Source organism: Homo sapiens, chromosome 17 (assembly GCF_000001405.40).
Source record: "Homo sapiens chromosome 17, GRCh38.p14 Primary Assembly".
In the NCBI taxonomy this organism is placed as follows: Eukaryota; Metazoa; Chordata; class Mammalia; order Primates; family Hominidae; genus Homo; species Homo sapiens.
Genome location: NC_000017.11, coordinates 64581333 through 64593859, shown reverse-complemented (window position 1 = coordinate 64593859; position 12527 = coordinate 64581333). Strand labels below are relative to the sequence as shown.

At 37.5% G+C, this 12527-nt stretch overlaps 1 protein-coding gene across 4 annotated transcripts in view; it reads left to right on the top strand.

The window, feature by feature from the left end:
* SMURF2 (SMAD specific E3 ubiquitin protein ligase 2) overlaps positions 1–12527 on the top strand; it is a 120026-nt gene that overhangs the window by 68448 nt on the left and 39051 nt on the right. For all 4 annotated transcript variants that reach the window (XR_007065425.1, XM_005257585.4, NM_022739.4 and 1 more), the window contains 4 exons: positions 287–420; positions 2711–2776; positions 7690–7774; positions 10316–10399. Coding sequence is in view for 3 of the 4 variants with exons in the window: in XM_005257585.4 (XP_005257642.1) it covers positions 287–420; positions 2711–2776; positions 7690–7774; positions 10316–10399 (369 nt within the window). In the remaining variant the exon portion in view is untranslated. The remainder of the gene's footprint in view (positions 1–286; positions 421–2710; positions 2777–7689; positions 7775–10315; positions 10400–12527) is intronic.

The following is a 12527-nucleotide window of genomic DNA, read 5'->3' as shown; positions in this document are numbered from 1 at the left end:
TAAACTCCCTTAGTGTTATTAGACATTAGCTACTAAAATAGCCTTTTTACTGACTAGAATTATAGCCCAGCTTGAGAGTGGCAGATGTGATAAAAATATACTAAAATTTTCAAGATTTTTAAAAATTTAAATTCAATCCTGTGGATTAACTCAAGACATATTTTGCATAATCTAGCCAGATTCTGAAGCATATTAGTAACTTTAGAATATAAAAAGAACAAAAGAAAAATTTTACGCCAACTGCCTGTAACTACCAAGTTACTCATGCAGCCGTTTTGTTTTTTAGGTATATTGGAAAGTCTGATTCAGTTACGATCAGTGTATGGAATCACAAGAAGATCCATAAGAAACAAGGTGCTGGATTTCTCGGTTGTGTTCGTCTTCTTTCCAATGCCATCAACCGCCTCAAAGACACTGGTTGTGAGTAGATACGAGTGCTTTTCCAATTAAAAAACATATATGTGTGTGTGTGTATATGTATTTGTGCATATACATATATACATGCACTATATATGTATCCTCAAATATATATTTAAAAATAATATATATATTTGAGTATGTTGGTAGGGCTTCAAACACAACTTCTTGTGCATGTCTGAAACATTGGTAAAAATTCCTGATCTAAATTTATTTTGTAGACTTAAAAAAAAAAGAAACATTTTAAATATGTGAAACTTACAGCCAAATCAGGGCTGATGCTTCATTTCCAGCTAATTTAAAAGTATTAAGAAATGATTGATATCCAGAATGGCAAAAATAAAGGTATCAGGATGTATATGCCTTTTAAAATTTCTTAGTATCCTTTTCTGGTTTTGGTGGATTTGTGGATGAAATGCTTTTATTTAGGTGATTGGAGTATTTAAGCTGGCAGTTAAAGGGCAATTACGAAGGGGTAAGAATGGTATAATACATAAAACTGCTGTGACAAAATTAAAAGTTAAAGATTAAACGTTATTTTGAGTGTACAACAGCTGTATTAACTACTTAACTGTAGCTGAGTTTATCATCAGCCTGAGGATTTAGAAGATTAGACCAAGATCAGGACATTAGAAGTGGTTTTCATAATGGATTTATAAGTTGACTTAGCATAACCAGGTGAGTCTTTTGGATGGGTCTTTCCATTGGAACATAAATGGGAATTCCTTTTTCAACAGGTTTTTTTTGTGTGTTTGTTTCTATAGAATTCTTTTTTATATAATGTAAAAAATACCGTTAGTCATCGTCATGGGATTTTAGCCCAGATGCATATGCTAAACAAACTCACATAAGATCTAAGGAAATTAATAAACAAAAAAGAGTAAATTTAGCATTGACTATTAAATATATCAAGAGATTGTCTCTTTTAATGTAGTATGATACCACAGCATAGGTATATATTGACCTTGTGAAAAAGAAAAGGGCAGAAAATTGAGCTAGAAGTTCTTAGTCCAAGATATTTAAAGGCATCTAAGAAATTCTTGTATTTCTGGGCTGACAGGGTAACCAACAGTAGAGAAAAGACACTGGGATTGGAAAAAATGAATTGCATATAAAAGTAAACTGTTTTATTACTCAGCAAACTGAAAACTTATAGGTCAAATGTCTGACATTATCCCTAGTTCAATAAGTTTACAGTTATTGAAGACTTAATGTGCTACTGTTCTAAACCCTGGCTGTATAAAGGAGAAAAAGGCATGAATCCTGTCCTCTGAGAAGGAAGGGCAAAGGCCTGCTGGCAAAGGGAGCATGCCGCATTGGAAGGACTGAATAGGAGAGGAGGAGTTAGTTGCTCTGCAGAATCCACTGTATAGCCAGCTTAGTAGCACCCATTTATTTTGCAAAGGGAAAAATGTCTGTATTTTTGGTTGGATAAGTAGGGACTGTAGTTTAGGGGCATGGATTTTTCTGTTTCTTGTGACTGCTTCATTGTATTAATTTATTTGACTTTTTTGATGTGCAGTAATATTGAATTTATCAAATATTTATTGAGCACCTACCTGATGTAATGTTCTACCAGATTGGAGTGGAAAATACAAAGACTAAGATATGGTCTCCTCCATTTATCAATTCACAGATAAGTAGACAGATGGCATACAGTTGTAAAAGCATTCAGCTATAAGTGCTGTAATCAAAGTAAAACCAGCGTACTTTAGGTGACATTGTTCCTTACTGTAACTTTCAGGGCCAGGTCAGTGTTATATCTCTTTTACAGATGAGGCATCTGAGAGAAGAAATGATTTGCTCCTAAATGAATGAGTGACAGAACTGATGCAAACCCAGATTTTACAGTTTATTCTTGGCTTCTTATGAATACTTTTTTGGGTCCATGTCATTTGAAATGGTTAGTTAAAAAATGATAATGACAACTAACATTTGTTGACCACTTATGTGCCAGGCACTATGCTGAGAGTTTGGCATAATTATCTGATTTAATCCTCAAAAAAATATGAGGATTCACATATTGTCATATGTGAGAAAACCAAGGCTTAGGGATAAATTCCTTAAGACCAACAATTATTAAGACTCAGACTAAAGTGGTCTAAAAGTTTTGGAGAGAAAGTGACTGCATGTTGGCAATGTAATACACCAGTGTTTGGTTTTTGAAATCTGAACTCTTTAAATGATAGGTTTGATTTCTAATGGATTGTGGAAATTTATTGTCACTCTATAGATGTTAGAATCTCTGATACCAGCTAATTTTTTCGTTGCTTTCTTTGTTGACTTCAAATAGATCAGAGGTTGGATTTATGCAAACTCGGGCCAAATGACAATGATACAGTTAGAGGACAGATAGTAGGTAAGTGTGGAATTTAAAGTTACATGAATTTTGGTTTCAAACTGACCTAAAGTGTAAAATACCTTTTAAATCAAAGTATAATAACTGTAGCTTCATTGTGTTGGCCTGAATTAAATGAGCCAGGTAAAATGTTACAGTGAATCCAGGATCCAGGTTAACTTAATTTAAAAAACTTTAATGTAAAAAAAAAAAAAAGTTTTGTGAAGAACTGTTGATCCTTCAGGATATAATTCTTTCAAAGTATCCTAATATAGTAGAGCACTAAGTTCAGACTTTATAAATGTTATTAAAGTTTACTGAAAATAATTCTCAAACTAGTTTTTTTAGTAAGAAGAGAACATTCTATTGAACTTGTTTTAATGTTTAATGCTTTACAGCTTTAAAATCTATGCTAATTGAGAAAAAACAGAATGAGCAATGGTAGTGTAACACTGGAAAAAGGGAGAAATTGTTACCTTACTCATGAGGCACTTAGTAGCCTTATATGGTATTTAGGGTGTCTTGAATTGACCTGGAGGGAAGGGCTTGATATAAAATTTGCTGAGACCTTTCTTAAGAATTGATAGAGATTTGATCAAGATGCCTAGTATGGAAGGACACTGTTCATCTTAGAGGCTTCTTAAATTAAAGAAGAAAAATGTGGCCAGGCACAGTGGCTAACACCTGTAATCCCAGCACTTTGGGAGGCTGAGGCGGGTGGATCACCTGAAGTCAGGAGTTCGAGACCAGCCTGGCCAACATGGTGAAACCCCATCTCTACTAAAAATACAAAAAATGAGCTGGGCATGGTGGCAGGTGCCTGTAATCCCAGCTACTCGGGAGGCTGAGGCAGGAGAATCGCTTGAACCCAGGAGGCGAAGGTTGCAGTGAGCCATGATCACACCATTGCACTCCAGCTGGGTGACAAGAGCAAGACCCTGTCTCAAAAAAAAAAAAAAAGAAAAGAAAAATTCAATAGGAATGTCACACTTCATGATAGAACAGAACTTAGTGAGATTATTTTGTTATGAACCCATCAGAGAGGTTTTAGTTACTGAAGGTACTTTATTTTACAAGGCAGTGAATTGGGTTCATAGTTAGAGAACCATCAGAGTAGCCACATAGCAAAGCCCTATTGTGGTTATCCCAGGGAAGTATCTATACCAGCGCACCCCACCATTTTTGGTACCAGGAACCGGTTTCATGGAATACAGTTTTTCCATAGACCAGGCTGGGGGTGGAGGTGGTTTCAGGATGATTCAAGTGCATTACATTTATTGTGCACTTTATTATTATTACATTGTAATACATAATGAACTAATTCTACAACTCACCATCATGTAGAATCAGTGGGAACCCTGAGCTTGTTTTCCTGCAACTAGATGGTCCCATCTGTGGGTGATGGGAGACAGTGACAGATCATCAGGCATGAGAGTCTCATAAGGAGCTGGCCTTGTGTGTGCGGTTCACAATAGGGTTCGTGCTCCTATGAGAATCTAATGTCGCCACTGATCTGATAGGAGGCAGAGCTCGGGTGGTAATGCTCACTCACCTGCCACTCACTCCTGTTGTGCGGCCGGGTTCCTAACAGACCCTGGACCAATACCCCACCCATCCATGGCCTGGGGGTTGGGGATTCCTGATCTACACTACATCATTACTGATAATTCCTGTCATTCTTAGATTGAGAAGGGAGCAAAAAAAAAAAAAAACTCAAAAATAAATTCAGTCATACAACACTTTCACATGTAAGTGTTCCTTCTGTATTTGATTTGTTATGTTACATAATGCTTGCCAACTACTGTCTAGTAGTAACAATAGTTTTACTAGGTATGAATTTGCATTTATATAAATAGCAAACTTTGTTAGACATTAGAAGTATACCTACTGGAGTACACCACATAGAAAACAAATGTTTTACTCTTAAATATGTGTATGCCTGTATATATGTATTTATTTAAAGCTCTTATGTGAATCTGGTGTTCATAATAGGACCATTAATAAAGAGAGAGGCAGGCTGGACTCAAACATTATGATTCTTTAGTTTTGTCATTCAAAAACAGAATGAGTTCCAGTTCGTTCAGAATGAGCCCTCTAACAAATAATTGTAAGTAGGTATATATACTTTTTGGAAAATGGAGAAAAGGACACTAGAAGACTAACTTTAAAAACTGTATTCCCGGGCCGGGCACAGTGGCTCACGTCTGTAATCCCAGCACTTTGGGAGGCCAAGGTGGGTGGATCACGAGGTCAGGAGTTCGAAACCAGCCTGGCCAGCATGGTGAAACCCTGTCTTTACTAAAAAATACAAAAATTAGCTGGTGTGGCATGGTGGTGTGTGCCTGTAGTCCCAGCTACTCAGGAGGCTAAGGCAGGAGAATCGCTTTAACCTAGGAGGTGGAGGCTGTGGTGAGCCAAGATCTCACCACTGCACTCCAGCCTGGGCAACAGAGTGAGACTCCATCTCAAAAAAACAAAAAAACAAAAAACAAACAAAAAAAACTGTATTCCCCTCTAGTATTTTTATATACATAAATATGTATATAAAATGTATATGTCTTTAATTCCAGTGAACATTAACTTTTTACTTTGCTTTCTTTCACTTAACCATAATCATTTTTAGTATTTATAATCTTTGTAATTAATTATTTTTAAAGGATGAAGTATATAGATATATCATAACTTAATAATTAAAAAATTTTTTTGCTATTATAACATTGAAACTTGCAAATATTTTTGTACACTTTGCTGTATTCTTTTTTAGAAAAGAATCTCCCAAATTTAGATAATTGATTCAAGGAGTACAAACTTTTTTCCTTGTTTAAAACTGTTATGCCCCAGCTACATTGGGAGGCTGAGGTGGGAGGATTGTTTGAGCGTGGGAAGTCTAATGTATCGTTATTGTTATTACTTGAATGTATACCTTTTTTGTGATTTTTTTTAGAGGAGATTATACTGAATTTTTAAAAACTGGTTTAAATTTATCATAAACATCTTTTTTTTTTTTTTTTTTGGACCATAAACACATTTCTATAGCATTGTTACTTGTTTTTTTTTTTCCTACTTTGCATTAAGGCTTGCAAAATCTGTAGCATTTTTAATGTGTGATAGCCCATGGTGGGTATGTAATTCATTTAACCAGTTAATAGCTGTGCTATTAACATAGCATTCTGGAGATGTAAATTGAAGCCCATGAAATTCTTTAGCTTTGAATCTTACTATTATTCTAAACAATGCTAATGAGAAAATACATTGTTTCTACTATGATTGTATTTTGGTACGCATTTCACTTGTTTTATCTATTTAAAAACTGATTGATACAGTTGTCTAGTACAGTTTTCATATAATGTTTTGTTTACATTTGCCAAGTAGGTGTTCATAGTGTTCTCTCCTCTAAATGGGACTTAATATCAAGGAGCTCTGTGTTGAACTGATCTTTCAAAATGTTTACAGAGCTGGAAGATTTCAGAATTTTGAGACCCTTCTTTGAATGAAGGGTCCTTAGATGTAATACTTGTTGTGCTGACCTATTATTTAAGAAGTTGGATTTATAGCCAAGTTTGACTACACCTCCTTCTGTCTTTTGGGAGAGTTACCAGAACTAGAATTAAACAATACTGGAGTGGCAAAGAAGGACTTCAGAGATATAATTTAACGTAACTTTTTCATTATTCAGACAGGGATTATCTACACCTTAAGTATATTAAGTGTTTTGTTCAAGGTTACAGTGCTAAACTAGTTACTAGAGCCTGCTCTAGAATTCACATCTCTTCCTTCTTCGTTCTTTGTGGTGGTTTTATACTACACTGGATAATGGTGTCCTGTTAAAACTCCATCAATCCAAGAATTGCTCTTTTGCTGGAATACCAGGATGGCCCTCTTGCTAGAATACAGTGTATTTTTATTTATTTATTATTTATTTATTTTTTTGAGACGGAGTCTCACTCTGTTGCCAGGCTAGAGTGCAGTGGTGCAATCACGGCTCACTGCAACCTCTGCCTCCCAGGTTCAAGTGATTCCCCTGCCTCAGCCTCCCCAGTAGCTGGGACTGCAGGTGCACGCACCACGCCCATAGTTCCTCACCCGGCTAATTTTTTGTATTTTGTAGAGACGGGGTTTCACCATGTTTGCCAGGCTAGTCTCGATCTCCTGACCTCATGATCTGCCTGCCTCGGCCTCCCAAAGTGCTGGGATTACAGGCAGAAGCCACTGCGCCCAGCCCAGTGTATTTTTTAGATGGTCAGATGATCAAGTATTAAAGTCAAATTAATATGGACTTTTCAAACTTCTTTGTACATGAATACACCCTTAATATGTTATGCCTCTTCCTTTTTTTTTTTTTTTTTTTTTTTTTGAGACGGAGTCTCGCTGTATCGCCCAGGCTGGAGTGCAGTGGCGCGATCTCAGCTCACTGCAAGCTCCGCCTCCCAGGTTCAAGCGATTCTCCTGCCTCAGCCTCCCGAGAAGCTGGGACTACAGGTGCCCACCACCACGCCTGGCTAATTTTTTTGTATTTTTAGTAGAGACGGGATTTCACCCTGTGTTAGCCAGGATGGTCTCGATCTCCTGACCTTGTGATCTGCCCGCCTCGGCCTCCCAAAGTGCTGGGATTACAGGCATGAGCCACCGCGCCCAGCTATGCCTCTTCTTAATTAAGTACAGTAGTGACTCTGCTATGCACCATTACTATGGTGAAAAAGGAATTAGGCTTCTTCCATGAACGTAATAAAGTGTAGAAAACCTTAGAATTCTAATATTACTCCTAAAGGGAAAAATCTATGGGAAAAGAAATTATAAATTTTAGTAGAAACCAAAGAGTTCATTCTAAAGTATTAAAATAAGCTAAGTCAGATGTCTTCTGAAGATAGAAATTTTAGATTATAATAGTTCTTTCTAGTTGTATGAATCTTAGTAATATTTCTGTCATTTAATAGTAAGTCTTCAGTCCAGAGACCGAATAGGCACAGGAGGACAAGTTGTGGACTGCAGTCGTTTATTTGATAACGATTTACCAGACGGGTAAGCTAACATCACTGAAATCATTAGAGAAATATATAGATAATATCCTTAAAAGAATAGAAATAAGTGGGTGTTTATTGTATATTAAATGGTGTTTATCGTATATTGAATGTAGATTTTCCTTCTAATTGTAAAATTAATGGAAGATCTTGTCTCGACAAATTTATAAAATAAGCCACAAATTAGATGTGTTAAATTTGGTTATTAAGAGTTTTGACTAGGAGACAAATGAAATTTCTTGACAAATATAACTCTCTTGTAAATATTATCTAGTTAAAAAAATGTTGCTTGATTAAATTATTCAAAACAGGCCATGCAAGTGCTAAATTAGAAACATTGCTATATTTAAGAGGGATGGGATGGATAATTTGTGTAATAGTAATTAAAATAACATAGTAAGATTTCATTGAGCATGTATATGGCAGATACTGTTATAAGCACTTTATGTACATATCATTTAATTCTCATAGCATCTTGGAAGGCAGTATATAGCCATGCTTCTGAAATCAGACCACCTGAGTTCTAATCCTTACTATTCTGTGTATTGGCTTTATGACCTTAATTTATTTAACTTCCATATGCTTTGGTTTATATTTATTTACAAAAGAGTATGAGTGATAATAGCATACTCATAAACTGTTGAGAGGATCAAATGAAATAATTCAGGTAAGGCACTTTAGCACAGTGTCTTGCATAAAATAAGCGCTTAGTAAATAATTAGCTACTATTATTTCTATTGCTACTATTATTGTTACCCTCAAAAACTAAGAGAGAAGTTATTTGCCTAAGGCCACATAATAAATGGCAGAGCCAAAACACACAAACCTGTCTTGATTCTAAAGTCATGATTTTTATGACTGGTCTCTTTGATACTAGTTCTAACTCTTTTCTGATTTTATTTTTAACATTCAAAGTATTTTTAACTAACTTCGATGAGATATAACTTACATGTAATAAATTGCATCCATTGAAGTATATAAATGGTTAAATTTTAACTCCAATTATTTTTTATACAAAATTTTATACCCAGGTTATGGTATTTACTCATTTTTTAAACTGTTAAAAATCACTATAATTAACTGTTCGTAGGTCACTTTAGCTTCTAGATATGTCTGTTAGCTCTTTTATAGATATGAGGTAGATTATGGTATTTTTGAAAAGGAAATTTAGGATGAAATAACTAATCAATATTGAGAGAGTGCCAGCAGTAATAAGGCTTATTGTTCTAAACTTGCCCTACATTATTGTACTATAATTGTAATCACAGGAGGGAAAATACCCTAGCATCTCTTTATTTTCTGTCTTTTAGAGCCCTTCAACCTCTGCCAGTATCTTTGTAGAAATATTAACATTATCACATTTCTGTAGTCATTTGGCTCTTTTTCATTAAATTAATTATGGTAAAGAGTTGATAGAAAGTAGCAGTCTTGGCCAGGCATGGTGGCTTACGCCTGTAATCCCAGCACTTTGGGAGGCTGAGGCGGGAGGACTACATGGTCAAGAGATCAAGAGCATCCTGGCCAACATGGTGAAACCACGTCTCTTCTAAAAATACAAAAAGTAGCCAGGCGTGGTGGTGTGCACCTGTAGTCCCAGCTACTCAGGAGGCTGAGGCAGAAGAATCGCTTGAACCCGGGAGGCGTAGGTTGCAGTGAGCTGAGATCGCGCCACTGCACTCCAGCCTGGCGAAGGAGCAAGACTCTGTCTCAAAAAAAAAAAAAAAAGAAAAAAAAAGAAAGTAGCTGTTTCGATTTTTTTTTTTTTTTTGAGAAGGAGTTTCGCTCTTGTCACCCTGGCTGGAGTGCAGTGGCATGATCTTGGTTCACTGCAACCTCCGCCTCCCCGGTTCAAGCAATTCTCCTGCCTCAACCTCCCGAGTAGCTGGGATTACAGGCGCATGCTACCACGCCCGGCTAATTTTTGTATTTTTAATAGAGACAGGGTTTCACCATGTTGGCCAGCCTGGTCTTGAACTCCTAACCTCAGGTGATCTGCCTACCTTGGCCTCCCAAAATGCTAGCCTCCCAAAATGCTGGAATTACAGACGTGAGACACCGTGCCAGCCAATAGTCTTCATTTTTAAAAAATTAGTTTGGGTAGGCTAAATGCTTTGAAAAGCTTTTGGCCGGATGCGGTGGCTCACACCTGTAATCCCAGCACTTTGGGAGGCCGAGGCGGGTGGATCACGAAGTCAAGAGACCTCGTGATTTTATGGTTAAATATATTCTTAGTATAGCCATTTTCCATATTCTGGAGTAATTAGTATGAATTTAATTGTGTATTGTTGACATTATTAAAAATTCTCAGAGTTTGGCTGATGGAAAATATTTGTTACACCTCAGCATAAATACTTTAGAAGCTTCAGAATCCCATAAAATATATTACAGAGTTCTAAAATAAGTTGAAAAAATTATATATTCTGTGAATTGATACTTCGGGTTGGCATTCCCGATTTGTAACAGCAGATGTCTTACTGGCTTGCTTGTTGCACTGTGTCCAAGTTTCCTATTAATGCCTTATCACTCAATATTTTTATTTAAGCTGGGAAGAAAGGAGAACCGCCTCTGGAAGAATCCAGTATCTAAACCATATAACAAGAACTACGCAATGGGAGCGCCCAACACGGTAAGAACATACAAATATTTTCTCATGATCTATGCCAGCCACCCTCCTGAAGTCCTTTTCTATTTATCTGTCAGCTTTACTAGATTTTTTTTCTTGGTTTTTGCTGTCGTAGATCAGTAGATCTTATAACAGGTGCCATTGTTATTTTTTAAAAGTGATCTTCAACAGTTTGTTTGACAGGTCATGCTGTCATTGTAGCTCCAGGGCCTGCAGTGGTACTCAATAAATATTTATTGAATGAGGCAGGGCGTGGTGGCTCATGCCTGTAATCCCTGCACTTTTCGAGGCTGCCTGTAATCCCTGCACTTTGGGAGGCCAAGGCATGTGGATCACTTGAGTTCAGGAGTTTGAGACCAGCCTGGGCAACATGATGAAACCCTGTCTCTACCAAAAAAATTAGCTGGGCATGTGACTTATGCTTGTGGTCCCAGCTACTTGGGACGTGGAGGTGGGAGGATTGCTTGAACATAGGTGGTGGAGGTTGCAGTGAGCCAAGATCGTGCCCGTGCACTCTAACCTGGGTGATAGAATGAGACTCTGTCCCCAAAAAAAAAAAAATATTGGCCAAGCATGGTGGCTCACCACTGTAAGCCCAACACTTTGGAAGGCCAAGGTGGGCGGATCACTTGAGGTCAGGAGTTCAAGACCAGCCTGACCAACATGGAGAAACCCCATCTCTACTAAAAATACAAAAATTAGCTGGACGTGGTGGTGGGTGCCTGTAATCCCAGCTACTCAGGAGGCTGAGGCAGGAGAATGGCTTGAACCCAGGAGGTGGAGGTTGCAGTGAGCCGAGATTGCGCCACTGCACTCCGGCCTGGGCGATAGAGCGAGACTCAGTCTCAAAAATAAAACAAATAAAATAAAATAAAATAAAAATCGAATGAATTAAATTGATAAGCAGAGGAATCTCTGAACTAAATCTTGAAGAATGTCAGGTATGGTCACTTCATGGAGCTTACTGTATAAAGACATTGGGATGCAAGATAAATTTTGGGAACTGCAAAGAGGTGCTTTTGAAGTAACTGAAAACAAATAGTCTATGTGGCTGAATCCCCTTCTCCTCACCCTTTTAAGTGAGAACAAAATTTGCCATCTTGTGCAGTGTTTTGTTTTGCCTGTTTTCCCCTTCTTGAGCAGGACTGGCACTAGGCATAAAATACCAAATTCTTTTCATTAGCTGCACCTACTTTTATTTATACAGAACTAATTGCTTAACTCATTGGATCACAAGGTTTTCTCTTTTACATTATAATTCTCAGGTAAAAGCTTAGCTCATGTTGCCAAGTTGCATTTCTAGTATTAAACTGCCAAGGAATTTATTGAAGTACCCATTTTTATTATATCTGAGCACAAATGAATATGTACTTGTGTCAGTGTTCAAGGTTTCACTTGAACACCAATTTCCTTCTGACTCATTTAACCAGTAAAATTAGCTTGAATTTCTACATGTATAAAAGGATGATTGTTGTTTTAAATGTTAATTTTTTTTTTTTTTTGGAGATGGAGTCCCGCTCTATTGCCTAGGCTAGAGTGCAGTGGTACGATCTCGGCTCACTGCAACCTCTGCCCACTGCAACCTCTGCCTCCTGGATTCAAGCAATTCTCGTACCTCAGCCTCCCGAGTAGCTGGGACTACAGGCGCCCGCCCCCACACCCGGCTAATTTTTGTATTTTTAGTAGAGATGGGGTTTCGCTGTGTTGGCCAGGCTGGTCTCAAACTCCTGACCTCAAGTGATCCGCTCGCTTCGGTCTCCCAAAGTGCTGGGATTACAGGTGTGAGCCACCATACCCTGCCATGTTAATTTAAGAATGAACTCTTGATTATTTTTTTATTTTGAAAGATCTGCAATAGTAGACTGGAAGCCCCTTAAAGAGACAAACTGTCTTCTTTCCTTTTGTGATGTATTGTCAAATGACTGGGTGACTTTTTTAGATTGGGAGGTCTGAGGGACCTCTTAGGAGGCAATAATAAACTGATTTGAATGACAAAAAAGAGCCAGGCCTAGGGAGAGTAGGAGAAAAGAATATGCCAGATGGAAGGAAGAGCAACTGCTCTCAGGTGGAATGACCTTGGCAAGTTCAAGGAACAGGAAGAATATGAGTGTGGCTGAAGCAGAGTGGGAGG